This window comes from Homo sapiens, chromosome 7 (assembly GCF_000001405.40).
Source record: "Homo sapiens chromosome 7, GRCh38.p14 Primary Assembly".
NCBI classification, from domain to species: domain Eukaryota; kingdom Metazoa; phylum Chordata; class Mammalia; order Primates; family Hominidae; genus Homo; species Homo sapiens.
The window spans coordinates 155288596-155308051 of record NC_000007.14 but is presented as its reverse complement, the minus strand read 5'-3'; the positions used below and the strand labels follow the sequence as shown (position 1 = coordinate 155308051).

Below are 19456 nucleotides of genomic sequence, written 5' to 3'. Positions count from 1 at the left end.
CCGTCTTCATGGCTCTGGCCCCGTGAGCCACAGCTCTCACCTGCAAAATTAGGATAATTCTCTGCCTCAGGTGAAATTACGCTGCTGAGGCCCTTATATAAAGCCTGTTATATAAGTGTAAGATATTGGTGAAAGTTTAACTAAATTAATATCTATATAAAGGAAACACCCAATTTTATCAAAGCATGGTGATGCTTAGGGTATGATAGGTTCCTGAAAGTTCTAACTGCAATTTAAGGGATTGAACCTTTATCTGAAGGGAGGTTTCTGCCACAAACCTTTATTAGTATCTGATGCCTGTGTTATAACCCACCTTACCAGCAGTTTGTTGAAACAGACATTGGAAATAGGTCATGCTTTGTAATACTGAAGCTCTGTGTGCCCTCAATTCACACAGAGCTTCACAGTTGGGAAATCCTTTCTACATGTTCTTCCTCATCTGACCCTCACAGAGCTTCTGAGAGGTAGACACTACAGTTACTACTATGACCAGGCACCTCAGGGTAAATTCTTAATGGAGAACAGTATTTCACTGATGAAGAAGCAAAGCCAGAGAGATTAAATGACCTTCCTGAGGCCACGGAGCTTCTGCTAAAGGGCAAAAGAGAAACCTCCATACAGAATTTTTTTCCCTCAGAATCGTGACTTCCCACGTTACTTAATTGCCCTCCACTCACTTTAAGAGGAAGGAGCTGAGCTCCTCACCTTCAGCAATGACGGAGATTACTCATCCAGAAAACAGCAAGAGCCTCTCATCTGAACAGACAGGTAAGAAAGTCATGAGTCTGGGTTGAGTCACCCAGGTATGCCAGTTACTACCCTGGGGACACACACAATAAGACCTTCTAGGAAACATACATGCTTTTAGGAATTGATCATGTGAAAGCACTGCCAATTTTTAGATATGAACACTGGGAGGGTTCTATACAAACTGCGGTGAGAAAACAAAAGAGCAAACTCTTGGCAGCAACCTGGAAAGAAAACTGGTCATCACATTTGACTCCCTGTTCACTAATGTGCTGATAAATAAATGGGAAGTGGACTTTTAGAATCCCTGGTCGACAGAGGCCACAGTGAGGCCTGGCAAAGACGCCAGAGACGAACGACAGCCAGCCCGGGCGGACCTGACACGTGGCACAGGGACTTCCAGCAGTGTTGCCTAATGGTGGCACATTGTAAATGGCAACCCAGACACCAACACAGGCTGCTGTAAACCTGCTTCCAGGGTGAAGGCAGGTGCGAGCTATGTGTTGAAAGGGCAGTGTGGTATGCTAATGAGAAGCACGGTGCCACGTCGACCTCTGCCACCCACTTGGCCAAGTTGTTTAATCTTCCTAAGCTGCAATTTCCCCTTTTAAAAATGGGCTAATAATAGTTTCTACTTCAAAGACTTGTGTTATGAGGACTAAACTGGCTAACAATGGAAACGCTCAGCACAATGCCTCCTGTGCAGCAGTAAGAGCCCAACAAATGTAAACCCTCAATAACAATAATAGTATTATTATCATTAGCAGCTGAATTGGGTCAATCAAAAACAGGAACGGCAAATCAAATCCCAAGCTGACACTGAGGTGGGCGGGACTCTGCCTCCAGGTGGCCCAGTGGGGCCGGGCAGTGGCAGCAGGACAGGCTTGATTGCTGTTGGCAGTTTGCAGCTTACTCTTGAGAAAGGACTTGAAGCTACAAACAGCAACAACTACAAGTTCTATAAATGATGGTTACAGACTCATTTTCTTTTAAACATACAGGCTGGGCCGGGCGCGGTGGCTCATGCCTGTAATCCCAGCACTTTGGGAGGCAGAGGCAGGTGGATCACCTGAGGTCAGGAGTTCGAGACCAGCCTGGCCAACGTGGCGAAACCCCGTCTCTACTAAAAACAGAAAAATTAGCCAGGTGCGGTGGTGGGCGCCTGTGATCCCAGCTACTTGGGAGGCTGAGGCAGGATAATCATTTGAACCTGGGAGACGGTTCAAATGCAGTGAGCCAAGATTGTGCCACTGCACTTTAGTCTGGGTGACAAAGCAAGACTCCGTCTCAAAAAAAGTAAAAATAAAAACAAACAAAAAGCAAACAAAAAAACCGTAACAGGCTGATAACAAATGTTTCTGCTGTATTTTCGGACACAAAGGACAACGGCATGTGTGGGGGGAAATACCACATAGAAAAAGCTAGGAGACCATATAACTTGAAGCAAAGCCAACTTGTAACTTTTGAGCATGGTTATTCTTGCAAGTAACTATGTTTCTTCTTAAGGGAGGGAAGCATAAGTTAGAACAAAGGCATCTGAAGAGAACTGAGACAGCTAAGAAGGAGAGGGTGTGGAGTGCACTGGGCAAAACCATCAGCACCAAACACAGACCTCAAATTACCCTGGATCTGGGCGGGTCTGGTCCCGGTGCTGAACTGAGCCTCGGAATCTCTTCACCTTCAGACTGTCAACAACTTCACTCTCGTCATCTCCCTTCACAAAGCCTTACTTGGTGTAGGTTTCAACCTTAAACCAATAGCTCTTAGACACTATCCCTGGAACATTCAGCCACTTCCATTTTGTGAGTCAACAGTATGACAAGAGTGGAATGTGGGGAAGGCTGCCCTGGGAGAAAACACGCACCACGAATGCAACCTGGGGCACAGCCTGAGGAACGGATGCAGCAGGAGGGAGGGGACTGCACTGTGAAGCCCCTGGGCCATTTCCGGGGTTTGATGGATAGAAATGAGTTTGCAAATTTTGAAGTGAAAAAAAGAGTAACAGTTGGGATCCAGAGGTAAGGATTTAAGTATTTATGAATAAAAACAGTGGTAGGCGGGTTAGGCTTAGAACCTCAGAGGTCAGTTTCATGTGATAGCCCAGCAGGGAAGGGGATTAAGGTGGTGATCTCTCTTCTCCAGTTTTTTTTTTTTTTTTTGAGACAGAGTCTTGCTCTGTCACCCAGGCTGGAATGCAGTGGCACAATCTCGGCTCATTGCAAGCTCTGCCTCCCGGGTTCACGCCATTCTCCTGCCTCAGCATCCCAAGCAGCTGGGACTACAGGTGCCCACCACCACGCCTGGCTATTTTTTTTTTTTTTTTGTATTTTTAGTACAGACGGGGTTTCACTGTGTTAGCCAGGATGGTCTCGATCTCCTGACCTCGTGATCCGCCCGCCTCAGCCTCCCAAAGTGCTGGGATTAAAGGCGTGAGCCACCGCGCCCAGCCTCTCTCCTCCAGTTTTAAGATACGAGAACATCCAAACATTTTCCCCCAAGCTTAAAGAATAAAAAGGATGAAGAGAAAGCTGAAGTAAGGAGAATTATAATTACACCAACTATCCTATTTTGAGTTATCTTTAACATTTTTTTCTGTAAGCAAAGGAGCACAGCAGGGATTACTTAATGAAACTATCTTCAAAACGAAAATGTTTCCTCCAACCATTTCTAGATGTTTAGAACTTATGAATGTTGTGAAATTTCTACCTCCACCAAAATAATGCTTATTTCTTAAAACCGATTTAAAAAGCCTTGACATATAACAGCACCAACCTATCAAACAGAAATAACCAACTCTTTAAATGTTATTCAAGTTGTAGTTATAATGTGTAATTAGTCAATCTGGTTGAGGACAATTTTATTCTAAAAACCTTCTTAGGAATTCTCTCCCAAAGAGTACCGAAACAAAAATCTCAAAGCAAGAAAGCAATGATGGAGTTGCCAGCTCTCCTTTGAAGACTATTAACGGGGATGATGGCGAATGCATGAAAACAACATACTATTTCCATGTGGGACCATCCGACCAGATTTTTAATATTAAAAAAAGCAAGGCCAGGCTCACGCCTATAATCCCAGTGCTTTGGGAGGCCAAGGTGGGAGGATGGCTTGAGCCCACGAGTTCGAGCCCGGCCTGGACAAGGCAGGGAGATAACATCTCCACAAAAAGCAAAAAAGTTAGCCGGGTATGGTGGCATGTGCCTGTAATCCCAGCTACTCGGGACGCTGAAGCGGGAGGATTGCTTGAGTCCGGGAGCTCAAGGTTACAGTGAGCTATGATGGCACCACTGCACTCCAGAGCTCTGTCTCAAAAAAAAAAAAAAAAAAAAAAGGCAAGCAAAGTCCTTTCTTCTCCATCATGAGAAATTTGGCAGCAGAGAGTCAGTAACCAGTGGAAGACTGCAAATTCTACCTGTAATTACTTCTGGTTTTGTGAAACAGCCAAGTGGTCTTCAAATTCAACTCCTCACAGAAGGGTATCAGCTGGCAAAAATAAATGTACTGTTTTAAAAATAGCATGAGGTACTAAGATAAGTTTTCCCAGAGCTTATCTCCGAGAGCAACAGCTCTAGGTTTTTGTTGTTTTTTTTAATTTACTTTCTTTCAGCCTGCCAAAGTCAACTCAAAATAACATTTAAAAGTCCACCTCTATGTTTTTAAATTGAAGTGCTAAGATGTCAATTTTTAACTAATGAGAACTGCTAAAGCCATCCTGGAGTTCACTACCTTTCCGTCTCCCTCAGGGGGGCTGTGAGAGAAGCTCTGCGGGGTAGCACTGCTTTCTCCTGCAGCTGAGAACAGATGCAATGTTCAGGCAGGACAGTCCGTCTACATGGTGACCCGGCCACGTGCAGCGGTGCTCTCATCACCACTTCTCCATGCCCAGGGCCACCTGCCCCACAGAAAGGTGCTGCCTGCCTGAACCAGGCTGTCCCCTTGCCCACCCACATTAGTCCCTGCCCTGGCCCGAGACAGACTCTGCAGCCTCAGGCTCGATTTGCTTGACTGTGGACTAAGAGGCCAGCATCATCTGCATCCACTCTGATTTTGTGAAAAGAAACACTGGTGGACTGATGCTCAGGGAGCAAAGTATCACTGCATGAGGTCATCCAGATCTGCTTCCGATGGTGAAGGAGGAGGGGACACTCACACACCAGTCACTTTCTCTACTGCTTACTACAGAAATTTCAAGAATTCAGAACACTGACCACATCTGCAATTCAAAGGGGCAGTGCGAGGGCTCTAGTTCCTTTTCTAGATCAAATATTATGAATTTTTATAATTTAGCAAAGAATTACCTGGGTATCATTACCTATTTTTTTAAATATAAGCTTTTCTCAGTAGTTGTCACTCAAGTCTGAACCAGAATATATGAACGCAAATTTGAATGTATCATGTAAAGTCATTCTATCAAGGTAAAGAGACGCAAGTTTTAGAAGATAATATGATCATTTCACTTACCATAGCTAACTGTCGTCCTATGTTCCCCACCGTGACGCCTCCTGAGAAAAATATACAAGGGAGCCAAGAACGAATATAGAGGAAATCTGGGGATGTATACCTGGAGCGAGAAAAGAAACTGTACCTTAGCAGTCAATTTCACCTGGCTCAATTCTACATCACAGATTCTCTGTAGTGGGGATATGCAGAACGCATATCAACCATCCAATGTTACGAATGTTCATATTTGTTTGGTTGTAACTGCTACTACTTGGTTTTCCTTTGCGTTACATTAAGTTATGGATAGCAGCATTTTTGAGAATTTCATGCCTAAATCTGTATCATTCTATATAAAAAACAAATAAAATATGAAAATATCTAAGCTTAGTGGATGTTTTAATGAAAGTTAAGTAAGCTTTCCAAAGCCAATATTTGAAAACACACACTTACTGATAGACACCATTATACACGAGAAACTGCGTGATCAGCGTAGCTAGAAAAGCTATGGTGATCCCCAGCCCAAGGCCACTTCTGGAACGATCAAATGTCCACCAAAGGCCCAAAGATAGGGCTGCTAAAGTCAAGGACAGCTGGACATTATTGGCAAAATCCAATTTCTGGTGATATAAAAGTTAAGGAAAAGTTTGCTGACTCTTATTAAGATAAAAAAACGTAAAACCACAAGGGTTAAAAACATGGGTATTTTATTATTGTACCACAGATAATTCACTGTCCATAAAAACTGTGTAATAAGCTAAAGAAAGGATTTGTTGGATACAGGTTACAGTAATCATTAAGATCACCTGAAATCTCCCTGCCATCACTGAGTCAAAAACTTAACCATAAGAATAAACTTGCTGAAAGCTATATATAAAGTGCTTATATATATTTATATAAATATATATTTATTATATATATTATATATATTTAAAAATATATATAATATATATAAAAATATAAATAAATATATATTTATTTTGACCATAAAACAATATATTTTACTATGAAGTCATCGATAGCCCCATTCTTCTTTCTCTTTTTAGTAATCTGAAATGGGTAGGTACCACCATCATGTCTGTATTATGACATGGAGTCATTTGAGTATATAACAAAACAAAACGCTTCAATATATAACCTAAGAAGATACTCTGGACGTAGCACAGAAAATTAAGGATACAGCACTGGCGTGGTTAATGCCAACAAAAACTGCTATGCAGCGCATGACACTGGCCCATTCTCTCTTAAATTTGTGGGGTTCTCCGAGGTGACTGTCGATACAGGGGTACAGTAGGCCAACAACAGCTGTTTTAAAAAAGTTGACAATGTTAGAATACAGCAGATTCAAGTTCCAGAATTTCAACGTGGTCATTAGTAACACAGTACATTACTCAAACCAGTCCTTTTCCTAGAAAAAATTATCAGCTATAACTTCAGAGTGATTTTATATTCTTGTTCTCTTTGAGTACCACTCCCACAAAATTGTACTGTTTGGAAAAGTTTTTTAAAAATCACTATTATTTAGTGTAGTTGAACATGTCTCAGTAAACACAGGAAGGAATCAAGCAGGGATTATTCATATTAATATGAGCAATATGTAACCTTATATTTAATATCCACATTTGCCTAAAGCACACAGAACTTAAATGACTATGTAGTTCACCTTGTCTTTTCATCCGGTGTGATTTCTATCTTACAATAAAAAGGTTAGCATCTGTCCACACCCTGTCACATCACAGCTCTGACACTCCTGCCACCACCCAGTACTGGGGCTGGGCACGTGATGAGATACATATTTGCTGATGTGACTTTGACAGTCTGGGTCACATGCTCCTAGAGTGGCCCTGGAGTTGATTTTCGGGGGTTCTAGCATGTTCTGTACGAGGCACTGAGCACCTACTGTGCACACATGCACATGGGCAAGTACGGGGCGAGACAGCCCCACACAGGCTTCGCTTATTCTCCATCTGGTTCCCGCATGGTCAAGCCTCAAGCTGCGGAAAGAACACCAGACCAAGAAGAGAAAACTCAGCCTCAAATCCCAGCTTGCCCTCTGATGGGACGTGGCTCTGCATGTTTGTTTTCTCATGTGTAAAATTATAAGGATTATGTAACTGGGACACAGAGAAAGAGATCACTGTGGTCTGGAATAGTTATTCTTTATAGACACGAACTTGGAATTTGGACAGGTGGGAAGGAATGGCATTCCAAAAGAGAAGTAAAATGGCAAAGATGAAGGCAGGAATGAATGTCTGTAGGGGGGAGTGGGGTGCCGGCCCGTGGGGTTGGATGCTGGGACACAAGGGTCACTGTGTCCCAGGGCTCTTGAGAACCCTGCAATTGTTTCACCTCAGTGTAGTATGAAAGAAATATACATTTTAGGTTCAACTGAGAAACAAGAAACACAGTTTGCATCAAACATTCAGATAAAAAATGTTGTTTTCAATTTATTATACTTCATCAGGTTCTAATTTTGGAGTTCTGAAAAATGGACCCCCCAAATTAACTTTACTTCACTATAGCTTAATAAATAAATAGGTAAAAAACATACTATGAAAAATTTTACTTATGCTCTTGGCTGATGGTTTAAAAAAAAGTAGAATATGAGAGTATGAGAAATTGTCCAGATATTCCTAGAAACCCTTGAGGATCCAATTACAAATACTGAAGGCTAAACTATTTCATTTCTAAGATCAAGTTTTTGGTTAAAGGAAAGAAACTATTCTGCCAAATGTATATGAAACATGGAATTTTAAATCTAGATATAGTTCTCAAAAAATGTTCAATTAGTACAGCCACATAAAGTGTTTCGAAAAACGAAAGAGGATCCCGTCCCTCCGAGAACAAATATGAAAACATTCTACCCACTACTTAATAATTACAGACACCTGTCCTAGTTCTTCAACACGGAGCCCTCTGTTAATCTGCTACAAACCTCTCTGCTGCTTGCTGTTTTCAGTGAGTCAACTGAGGCAATGTGTTTCCACAGTGCAGGAGACACACCTACCAAGGCAGCAGGAGCAGTTACCAACGATGGCTTGGCCCCTTTCTACCTGCGCACCCTTGGATGTGACTTCACCTGTGATTCAGTTGCCACATCTATAAATGAAGCTACACATGGTATTGCTGTAAGGAATGAACACAGCAAAGCATCTGAAGCCTATGGTCAGCAGTCAGCTGACAAACGTCAGCCACAAAGCAAACAGGATGCTCCCTGCACTGCACTGGAGTCACTGACATACTGGTTTGTTTTCCCCACCAGACTCTAAGCTGCTTAAGGATAGGGGCTTGTGGTGCTCACTTTTGGATTAACATTTCAACAGCTTATAGAGTTGAGGTTGCAGAAAGCACCCGACAAGCTCGTTAAATAAACAAATGCTGTGTGACTACAGGAGCAGTAAGTGATCTGCTGAGCCAAGATCAACTCAACATTTCTATAAAAGCGGTTCAATGATAGCCAAGAAAGTCTAGTACACACACCCAGCAGTCCCCGTGTCCACAGTTCAGACTGACTCAGTGTTACGTTGTACAGCATCTATGCTACTGCTTGGGTGTACGAAAATCTAAACGCCGTAAGGGGGTTACTCTTTTCCTTAAGAACGTAATCTACAGAGCTCTAACAGTTCAGGGTGTAGGCGGTTTGGCTTCAGACCACAGTTTACTCAGCGACCCGGCAAAAGGAAGTGCTGAGAAGTTGCTCCCCTGGCAACCGCCTCCTGAACCCATGTGACGGGTTTGTTTTCAGTTATCCAGCAGGGTAGCATGTTTGCTGCCGCGACCAATGGCCTTTCAGTCCCGCTGCTCACCAGTTCCCCAGGCGGCCAATCCGGGGCGGCTGGCGCGGGATGACAGCTGGGGCTGTACCCGGACGCCAGGAGGGAAGGGCCCTCAGTCAGCTTGGCACAGCACCTGCTTGAACAGCCAATTATCTCCCTGCCTCATCTCCATCACTGTGCTTCCTCAAACTTCAGAGAGCTGTGGCCCGAACCCGCCCTCGGGGGTGCCAGGTCCTCTCTACCCCTCCTTCATTTCTCTAAATCCCAAGACTGGAGATGCACACTTTCAATCTGTGGATAGTTCCAGTTTCAAATGCATGTTTCTTATAGGCTGAAAAGTACTTTCAACCGAAAAGACACCCTTTTTACTTCCAGAAGAACCAGGAGGGGTACTCACCAGCTGCTGTCCCGCAGCAGGGAGGGACCCACCAGGCGGAGGAAAAGATGGTGGCGATCACCTCCTCGGGGAAGAGAGTGACATTCCTCTGGATCTGCAGCAGGTTGAGCACCAGGGCTAGGACCACCCCAACCGAGAAGAGCACGAGGCTCCTCTGCAACAGGCGATGATGCCAGGTGTTGGGGTAGGGGCTGCCGGGCTCGGGGCCGCTCATCGCAGCACTGCGGCCCCTGGGCGCGGGGTCAGCGTCCGGGGCACCGTGGGCCGCCAGCAGGGAGGGCCCGGACACGGAAACGTTGATCATCTCCCCAACCTTGGCCGCCAGCCCCGCGGCGCTGGCTCGCGGGGGGCCTCGGCGCCTCGCGCTGTGCGCACAGGAGCAGCTCCAGAAGTGGTCGTGCAATCTGGGCATCGGTCACACGCGTCCAAGAGGCGCTTCCTGGAAGAAGGGGGTCATCAAGTTCACTCAGAAGAGACAAAGAGCGAGGAAGGCCCCGCGGGACGCGAACCCCGGCACCCGGGCCAGGCGGCAGCGCCGCCCCCCAAGGTTAGACCCCCGTGCGCCCGCCCGGGGCCAGCGGCGGACGGGACCCGCGCTCACAGCGAGCAGCATCCCCGGCCCCAGCGGGACCCGCGTCCCAAAGACCCAACAGGGCCCGCGCCCGCCTACCTCCGGGGAGGACCGGCTGCTGCGCGACCAAAGCCCGCCCGCGACCCCTATCCCAGCCGGCCGCGTACCTGGCCGAGAGGCGCCCGCCCGCCGGCTCTCCGAACGGAGGCGGGGCGGGGGAAAGGAGGAGTCACGGCCCGGGACGGCCGCAGCGCCTGGCGGGCGCGCGGGTTTATATGGCGGGCCGCGGGGCCCGCATCACGTGAGCCTGCCCGGCCTACCCACCGCCCGCGCGCACCGCCCAGGGGCGTGGCCTGAGCTTGCCCCGCCCCGCCCGCGAGCCCGTCCGCACGCGGTCTGGTGAGGCGGCCGCAACCAATGGGAGGCCGGCGGCCCATATGACGTGCGCACACGCCACCGCCGGCCCGCGCGCACTCGGGCGGGAGCCTCGGCACGGACTGCGGGGCGCGTGGCGGCTGCGGGGCACGCGGGCCCGAGCGGGACTGGCCGGCTGCGAGTGGGCGGCCGCGGAGCTGGGGCCTGGGAGGGGACGGTCCTGCCGGGAGGAGGCGGAGGCAGGACAGGGTGGGGTTGCGGGCCCGGCGCCGCCCCTCCCGGCTCCTGGCTCCCCTCGCCTGGTGTCCCGCGCCTGGCCGGGAGGCGGCGGGTCTCGATCGCGCGGGCCTCCCTGGAGGGGCGCGGGCTCTGGCGGCGGGGAGGCCCCTGCTCAGCGCAATGGCGGGCTTGCATCCTTGGGTGATTTTTTCGGGCCCCTTGTGGCCTTTGCTCACGCCTAGAGAGCAAACCACCCGCACCACCCAGGAGCAGATAAAATCGAGACCACAGCCTCCAAGGGAGCGCGCCTCCATCCTGTTTGCCCCTCGGGTCGCCGTCTGAGGGCGGGCCCGTGCCCGCTCAGAGCCTACATCCGAGTCGTATAAAGCGCTGACAGCAGAGAAAGCTGCGGCTTTGCTCCGTGCAGATGAGCAGGGGCTGAGGGAGGACGCTGTGCTCTCAGTAGCCGCGCTTGGCCCGGGGACCCTGCAGGCTTAGAAACGTGAGTCACGCCTGCAGCGTGGCGAGGAAACGCCGTTGATGTGGCATCCTCAGCCTGGGGTTGTGGCTTTAAGCCAGAAGGTCAAAAAAAGAAGTCTTCCTGAGCTGAGACTGCCCTGAGTCGCTTTAGGGGCGAAATTCCGAGCATCCGGTTGCATTTCCTGAGGATGACACGCGTGGTGGGTGTGGACGGCCTACAGGGGTCCATCCTCAGCGGCCCCTCTGCAGGGCAGTCTCGCTCTCACTCTCCCAGCTGACTCCTCTCAAGCCTGTTAACCATTGTACACGTTCCCAAGGACTCCAAGCAGGTTGGACTTCAGGGAACATTGCAGTTTGGGTCTTGGCCATTGTTTACACTCCACCTTGCATAAGTGCTTGAGGATCACACAACCAGATACGTAGATCATCCGTAGATCATCGCAGTCACATCGAAGATTTGTTTATAATAGGAAAAAAAAAAGCTACCCACTGTCATGCGCTGGGAAACTAGTGAGCTGAAGGATGACCCATCTGTAAATGGGGTGCTCCCTAATGGACAGGGCACCTTTCAGAAGCCTGTGCTGTGTCTCCTCGACCCCACTGTGAGCTCCCCGTCCCGCACGCTGATCTAAATCAAGCTGCTAACCTCATGGAGAGGCGTCCGCACGGGAGCCCCGGCCCTGAGATGCGGGGCAGTCACCCATTCAATTAGGAAACACCAGCAAGTGCCAGAAGCTTCTCATTAGCAGGTCAGCTTTCAATAACTGGTTTATCCAGGTGTGTGAGACCCGATAAGCAGAAGGGAAAGCTCTTAGCGACCTATCCAGCTGCTCTGCACTGGGCTCCTGACATCCCAGAAATCAGTACATCTGTCTTCTGGGGTCCAAGAGGTATTTCAGTTTCTCTGGCTTTGTTTCCCGTCATTTGTACCTGGCCCTGCAGACTACCCCAGTATTTCCATCATAATACCCCTGTGGGCAGGTGCATACCTCATGACAATATTTAATATTAATAGATTTATGTGTTGTCTCCAGAATGGAAAGGGGCTGTCTATTCCTTGAGCTAGTTGGCTTGCTAAAGACTATTGACTTCATTCTTCTTTTCCTATCTACCTAATAAACCAGTGTTCATACAACCCAGCCTCTCTGACTCTGTCCCTCCTCTCATCTGTACTGGGACATTATGAACCATGGAAGATCCTGGAGTCATAGAGGCACCCTGTGGCTCTGTGGCTGTTGCACTTACACCGACCAAGATGTCCCGTGGGAATGTGGGAAGGTTGCCCGTGGGGTTCCTGCTGAGGGCCTCCAGCGTGGCCTCTGAGTCGTAGGTAGAGATTGTCACTGCGTTCCCAATGTGTGTTTGCCCAGGTGCCTGTGGAGTCTGGCCCCATGAAGAAATGCAGCCTGGGGTAAAGACAGTGGGAGAGTTTGAGTTTACCCCCTTGAATACCCCCTTTGAAGACCGAGCCTCCATATCAGTAACCACATTCCAAGATTTTCAGGGGTTGAAATTTGCTTATCCTCAAGCAAAGCTGTTGTTGATTTTGTTTCCCTGCTAATCGTGGGCCGTGTGTTGAAGATAATGGGGTTCATTCTCTTCAGCCCCTGTCAGCCACTCTGAGTTCAGCATTTAGGGAAATCTGCTCATGATGGCACCGTTTAGTTCTTAATTGCCCCACAATACAGAAATCATCACAGATGTGGCCTTACTCTAGGGGAGTTGACTATTGTTGAGTTAAACACCTCGCCGTGCCTTCCCAGATCACTAAGTAACCCTCAGACTGGTGGCCTCTGTACTGAACAGGCTGGCGGAAGGGAGCACAGGACGGCTGTAGCTCTTTCGGATACGGAAGAATCATGCACTCATAAAGGCCTAAAGACTGGGAGGTGTCACGTAGTGAGCAATCTTGCCTTTAGTCTGTTCTTACTGTTCTTTTTATTATAACATTAATAACCATTTGTAAGAAATATTCTTAAGATAAAGTAGATTACCAAATATATATTTTTTCATATAAAAGCATCACATGCTCATTGTAAAACATCGTGGAAAAATATATTTTAAAGAAATAGTCTATAATCCTACCAACTAGAGATGACCATTGTTAACATTTTGAGGTATGTATTTCCAAATATTTTTTCTATCCATAAATGTGTTTAAAAAAACACAAATAGGATCAACTTCACATTAGTGGAACCAGTTATTAAGTGATCATGAACGTCTTTTAAAGGCAATCAATACAGACTACGCCATTTTTTAATAGCTTTAGTGAGGGCGAATTCATGCATTGTGCAATTCACCCATTTAAACGGTGAATTCAGTGTTTTTTTGTGTATTCACAGAGTTGTACAACTATCATCACAGTCCATTTTAGAACATTTTCATCACCCCAGAAAAGACCTTCATATGCTTTAGTTATTGCCTCCTTATCCCGACTTCCACCCCCAGCCCACGGCAACCACTGATCTACTTCCTGTCTCTATGGATTTCCTGTTCTGGACATTCGTATGAATGGAATCGTATAATATGTGATGTTTTGTGACTGGCTTTGTTGACATAATGTTTTCAAGGTTCATCCATGTCATAGCATATGTCAGCACTTCATCCCTTTTTATGGCTGAATAATGTTCCATTGTATGGAGAGGCCACATTTTGATTATCCGTTCACCAGCTAGTGGACGTTTGGGTTGTTCTCACTTTTCGGCTATTACGAATGATGTTGCTATAAATGTGCACAAGCTCATCCATGTGGGTGTAGCTCTTCATTTCTCTTGGGTGGAGTTACTAGGAGTGCACTTGCTGGGTCACATGGTAACTCTATGTTTAATCATTTGAGGAACTGCTGGACTTTTTCCAAAGCAGCTGCATGATTTTAAACCTCCATCAGCAGGGTATGAGGGTTCTGATTTCTCCACATCTTTGCCAACACTTGTTATTCCTTGAGTTTTTGATTCTAGCCATCTCAGTGGATGTGAAGTGGTATGTCATCGTTTTCAAAAGCAGAATAGTGTTTGTCTATGAAGGGAAGTGCCTTAGCTTACTTGCCATGAAAGCACAATCCCCCAAGAGTGAGGGAAAGAGGTGAGTGAAGCAGTGAAGGAGAAGCTATGGTGAGGGTCACCTCACTGAGCCGACCATGGCTGTTGCGTGACATGTGGTTGCTAGTCACACAGGGTACCTTCTGTACAGGCTGTGGAGACCCACCATGCCTTGCAAGAACAGTCCTTTGGGGGAAAAGAAAGAAAAGAAATGCATCTGGTAGCTCTCTATCTTCCGTCTCTTACTGGCCCCAGTTTACCCCTCCTTCATTAACTCTTTCAGTTTTCCTGATTCTAATACAGTCATACACTGCACGATGACATTTCCATCAGTGATAGGCTGCATATACGATGGTGGGCCCATGTAATGCCATATGTTTACTGCACCTCTTCTACGTTTAGATATGTGTAGATGCACACATCCTCGCCATTGGGTTCCACTTGCCCACAGTATGCAGTACAGTCACATGCTGCACAGGTGTACGAGGAATGCCCTCCAGCCTAGGTGTGTAGTGGGCTCTACTGTCTCAATTTATGTAAATGCACTCAATGGTGTCTGCATGAAAAATCTCCTAACAATGCATTTCTCAGAATACATGCTCGTTGTTACGCGACACATGACTATACTCAGCCCCACGCTGCGGCTGATGGGACAACCAGATTCCACAGCCAACAGTGGACTCATCCTCAGAGCCCCAAGTGGTAAGAAGACCCCAGAGCTGCTTCTGCAAGTCAAGTTGGTCAGACTGTCCATGCCTATATTGATCACTGGAAAGGGGAGTAGAACAGTTATGATTGGCAGAGAGATGACCCTCCAATGTGAAGAGCTGTTGGTGAATCCATCGCAGAGACCACTGCAGATGGTGACTCTGCATTGGAGTGGAGGGTGGGCCAAGGCAGACTGTGTAGGATGAGAAGTCAGTGTGCCTCGTACAGCCCTGAGGCTGGAGCAGAGGAAAGGGGCTGCCAGGGGCAGTGGCAGAAGGTCCAGTAAGATAGGAAGAAAGTGTGCGACCAAGAAATCCGGGGGGGGGATGTTCTGGAAAGGAGAAAGTGGCAGCCATGGCATGCAAGACAGAGACCAATCATGTCTGGGGGTCCTGTGATGTGGTCAGCAGGAAGCTCGGTGTGAGTGGCCTGAGTCACGGGGGAAGCTGCGCTTCCATGAGATAAGGAGACAAGGAAAATGAGGCTGCCAGTGAAGATCCCTCTGGAAGGGGTCTGGCTGTGAGAAGGAGGGGAGAGATGATGGAAGCTGGAGGAGAGAGTGATGGGGAAAGAGTTTAGTTTGTCTGTCTGTTTGTTTGTTTATTTTGAGACAGAGTCTTGCTCTGTCAGCCAGGCTGGAGTGCAGTGGCTCGATCTCAGCTCATGCAACCTCCACCTCCCTGGTTCAAGGGATTCTCCCTCCTTAGCCTCCCACTCAGGATTACAGGCACCTGCCACCACACCCGGTTAAGTTTTGTATTTTTGTAGAGACAGGGTTTCACCATGTTGGCCAGGCTGGTCTTGAACCCCTGACCTCAGGTGATCTGCCCGCCCAAAGTGTTGGGATTACAGGCATGAGCCACGGCGCCCAGCCTGTTTTGTTTTAAAAAATGAGAGACGTGAACAAATATAAACGCTGATGGACCCAGTAGAAAGATTGAAGAAGAAGGGCAGGGCGTGGTGTCTCACGCCTGTAATCCCAGCACTTTGGGAAGCTGAGGCAGGTGGATCACGAAGTCAGGAGTTCGAGACCAGCCTGACCAACATGGTGAAACCCCGTCTGTATTAAAAATACAAAAATTAGCCAGGCGTGGTGGCACATGCCTGTAATCCCAGCTACTCGGGAGGCTGAGGCAGGAGAATCGCTTGAACCCAGGAGGTGGAGGTTGCAGTGAGCCGAGATTGCTCCATTGCCCTCCAGCGTGGGTGACAAGAGTGAGACTCTGTCTCAAAAATAATAATAATAAAATAAAGAAAGACTGAAGAAGAGGGAGTGAGAGCAGGCAGTGGAGAGTGAGGTCCCTGAGGAGAAGATTAGAGGAGGAGATTGGTGTCTAGGACCAATCCTAGTGGGGATTCCTGGGCAGGCACACCCTCTACTGAGGAAGTAGGTGGGAGAGATGGGGGCGGTGTGGTGGGGTCGCCTTCCCCTCAGGAAGTTTCTGTCATTTCTGAAGAAGGAGGAGAGCTCCTGAGTTAAGAGGGAGACAGGAGCGATTGGAAACTGGGAGTGTAAACCCTTTGGTGTGGAGTGCCTGGTGGAGGTTTGTGATGGCGACTTCACAGGGCCCAATCTGCAGGGTGGCGTGGGAGTTCTTCTCTACGACACTCCAGGCTGGGTAGCAATGGCAGAGCATTCGAGGGGCCTCTAGAATTGGTTTTTTCCTGGTGGTGCCAAGGAGGGGCAATGGAGCAGTGGAGGGCAGGTTAGCGGCAGGCGGCTGGTGGCGTCATGGAACCTGGGTCAGGTGAAATGGAGGTGAAAGGAGTATGCCGGGAGGAAGAGGGCCCCACAGAGGGAAGGGTCAGTGTGTAGAGGCTTGCCCTATGTGAACACTGGGTATTGGCCCTACAAGGGTAGCAATATTCATTGATTAATGCAACCCAAGCTCCCACAGATTCATTACTGGATGGGTGATCTGAAGGCGAGAGCCTGGGCAGGAGGAGGCTGTGTGGGCACATGGCGTCAGGGGAGAGCCACTGCAGAGGGTGGCAGTCCCCACGATGAGCCTGGGATTGGGTGGCTGGAGTGGTGTGGAGTGAGTCACCAGGGCCAAGGAGGTCAGGGAACCCAGAGGCGAGGCCTTGGATGAGTCATGCTTGAGTGGGACGAAGTCCTCAGCACAATGACAGGTTTGGGATATGGAGACAGACTGTGTGTCAGGTGTCTGAGTCCCTGGGGAGTGAAGGCAGCAGATAGCAGTGGCAGAGGGGGTGCACTGGGTGGGATGGTGTGCCCCCAAATTCATGTCCTTCTGGGAACCTCAGAATGTGACCTTATTTGGAAATCGAGTCTTTGGAGATGTAATGAGTTAAGATGAGTTCCCACTGGAGTAGGGTGGGCCCAAATCCAACATGACTGTTTCCTCCTAAGAAGAGGAGGTGAGACCCAGAGACAGACATGCAGGAGAAGCCGTGTGAGGACGGAGGCGGACATGCGCCATGGTTTGCTGGGAGCCACCAGAGGCCGGAAGGAGTAAGGAAGGATTGTCCCGTAGGGCTCTCACAGGGAGCAGGGCCTGGAAACACCTTGCTTTCAGCCTTCTGTCCTCCGGGACTGGGAGGGATGTGGAGCATGGAGCAGGAAGGAGTGAGGGGCGGAGGGGCCAGGGGCTTGCCACCTGTGTGGTCATGTCAGGCCTTGGCCCCACGGTCGGTGGCTACCACCCAAAATATAGACACACCATATAATCTGTGTTACTCAATTTCACGGCACCTGAAAGATGAGTGTTCTCTCTATCTGGTGAAGAACGTGAAGAAATGGAGTCCTGAAGCAAGCAATGTGCTCAAAGCTGTGACAATGCTGAGGGGCAGAGCAGGGGTTCAGATCCAGCCTCCCTGAGTCCATAGCTGGGCTCCCCGCACCCCCATTGCTCTCACCCCTGGAGTTCCTGCTGTGCCCCAGGCACTGTGCTAGAGATACACAAGGGCTCTTGCTGCATGGTCCTGGAGCTGCTCACAAACTAATGGGGGAGAAGGACCTAGGAGGAGGCTCCCGGCACTGCTGTGACAAATGACCACAAACACGGTGGCCCTGCACAGCACGCATGTGTCATCTCAGAGCTCTGGGGGTTGGGTGCCTGAACTGGGTTTCGCTGCAGTAAGATCAAGGCGCTGGCAGGCTGGGTTCCTTCTGGAGACTCCAGGGGGTCTGTTCCCTCGCCCTTCCCAGCACCCAGAGGCTGCCTGCCTTCCCTGCTCATGGCCCTGTCGTGGTATCACTCTGGCCTCCTGCTCACTTCGAAGGGCCTGGAGTTAGGTGGGACTTGCCTGAATAACCCAGGTAGTATGAGCTGAGTGTCTGTGTCCTCCCAAATTCATACGTTGAAAGCCGCACCCCAAGGCAATGGTGCCAGGAGGTGGGGCCTTTGGGAGGTGCTGAGGTCATGAGGGTGGAGCCATTGTGAATGGGGTCGGGGCCCTGAAGAGAGAGCCCCAGAGAGCTCCCTGGCCCCTTCACCATGTGAGGATGCAGGAGAAGGCGCCATCTCTGAACTAGAAAGTGGCCCTCGCCAGACACTGTCTCCCAGTGCCCTGAGCTTGGACTTCCAGCCTCCGGCACTGTGAGAAATGAATATCTGCTGTTTATAAGCCCAGTCGCTGGTACTTTGTTAGAGCTCCCCGCATGGGCTTAGACACCAGCAGAATCTCCTCATCCCAGGATCTTTAATCGAGTTTGCAAAGTCCCCTCACCATGTAACATCACACATTCACGAATTCCAGGGATTAGACTGTGGACTTTTGGGAGCGGACTGATATTCTGCCTACCACAGACATGAAAACATCATTTCGATGCATTTTGGTGATTTTTATCATAGAAATTCATAGACAGGCGGTGCTATGGAAACACAGAAGAGGGACAATTAGAAAATGCCTCTCAGGAGATGTGACATTTGAGCTCAGTCTCGAAAGATGAATTTGTCACCCAGAGAAGGAGCAAAGCCATTCCAGCAGAGGAACAACTTGCGCAGAGGCGTGAGGCCCTCGGGGGATTCTGAGCACGTGGGAGACAGAGTGGAGAAGTCAGCTGGGCTGAAGCCTGGGGACAGGCTAAGCAGCTTAGCCTTTGTCCCGGGAGCTGGTGTGGCTAAGTCTTTTTTGATCATCTGTTTCAGTTGGCTGATGTTTACCTTGTTCTCCCCAATACATATATCAATGTATTTACTACATATATATATATATATAGCTGTCCTCATATCTTATATGCACTACATGATATATTATAAATAGATATTTAATTACAGAGCCTCTTGAATTTTAGCCGAACCAGCTAAAGACTGGGCACCAGCTAGACTGAACTTCTCAGCGGTTGGTGTGGCCATGAGCCTAAATTTGGGCCAGTGGGCAGTGGGCAGGTGGGTTGTTTGCAACTCCCAGTCACTCTCTGAAGATGAAGGCGCTTCCCTGGACTCCCTCTTGATCTCTGTTTTTTCCTCCAGCAGGGAGTGTGGGTGTGGCAGCAACCCAGCATCTACCATGCCGACCATGTGCCATGCCATGCACCGCGTGTCGTAACAGGACAACAGAGCAAGAGACCCAGCAGACAGGGGTCCCCAGCAACCTCATGAAGCGCCATCCACTCACCTCCAGACAGTCTGGGGAGAGAGACTGAAACTTCTGTCTAAGCCACTTCATCTTTGATCTCCTTGTTTTTGTGGTTCAGGTTGTATCTTAATAAATAAAACGTGTTTGAGTTCATGTTTACATCCAA

The 19456-nt window shown here is 48.7% G+C and overlaps 1 protein-coding gene and 1 long non-coding RNA gene across 11 annotated transcripts in view, besides 4 other annotated features; one reads left to right on the top strand and one right to left on the bottom strand.

The window, feature by feature from the left end:
• The window catches only part of INSIG1 (insulin induced gene 1), a 12358-nt gene extending 2184 nt beyond the window's left edge, over positions 1 to 10174 (bottom strand). The window contains exons 1-6 of one of the 8 annotated variants that reach the window (NM_001346591.2): positions 10025 to 10174; positions 9355 to 9793; positions 6362 to 6486; positions 5635 to 5801; positions 5206 to 5305; positions 4157 to 4227 (exon numbers count right to left, since the gene is read on the bottom strand). In NM_001346591.2, coding sequence (NP_001333520.1) covers positions 4157 to 4227; positions 5206 to 5305; positions 5635 to 5801; positions 6362 to 6486; positions 9355 to 9766 — 875 coding nt within the window. In that variant the 5' untranslated portion in view covers positions 9767 to 9793; positions 10025 to 10174. Of the gene's footprint in view, positions 1 to 4156; positions 4228 to 5205; positions 5306 to 5634; positions 5802 to 6331; positions 6487 to 9354; positions 9794 to 10024 lie in introns of all 8 variants that reach the window. The other 7 variants (NM_001346590.2, NM_001346592.2, NM_001346594.2 and 4 more) reach the window with 7 other exon arrangements.
• Positions 8649 to 8718: an enhancer, noted in NCBI's record as "active region_26896". NCBI's record gives its function as "activates an Ori minimal core promoter by ATAC-STARR-seq in GM12878 lymphoblastoid cells {active_cell/tissue: GM12878}" and the evidence as "EXISTENCE:reporter gene assay evidence [ECO:0000049][PMID:35858748]".
• INSIG1-DT (INSIG1 divergent transcript) lies at positions 9072 to 19456 on the top strand. 3 transcript variants are annotated; one of them, NR_183448.1, is made up of 2 exons: positions 9072 to 9901; positions 19188 to 19456. It is a non-coding gene; the product is annotated as an INSIG1 divergent transcript (long non-coding RNA). The 3 variants fall into 3 exon arrangements; NR_183447.1 differs by having other exon boundaries at positions 19185 to 19456; NR_183446.1 differs by lacking the exon at positions 9072 to 9901 and adding an exon at positions 10394 to 11748.
• Positions 9839 to 10668: a silencer, noted in NCBI's record as "silent region_18844". NCBI's record gives its function as "represses an Ori minimal core promoter by ATAC-STARR-seq in GM12878 lymphoblastoid cells {active_cell/tissue: GM12878}" and the evidence as "EXISTENCE:reporter gene assay evidence [ECO:0000049][PMID:35858748]".
• Positions 11129 to 11178: an enhancer, noted in NCBI's record as "active region_26895". NCBI's record gives its function as "activates an Ori minimal core promoter by ATAC-STARR-seq in GM12878 lymphoblastoid cells {active_cell/tissue: GM12878}" and the evidence as "EXISTENCE:reporter gene assay evidence [ECO:0000049][PMID:35858748]".
• Positions 16498 to 17097: a transcriptional cis regulatory region, noted in NCBI's record as "candidate enhancer chr7.5881 targeted for multiplex CRISPR interference". NCBI's record gives its function as "positively regulates INSIG1 gene expression with high confidence in K562 cells {active_cell/tissue: K562}" and the evidence as "EXISTENCE:mutant phenotype evidence [ECO:0000015][PMID:30612741]".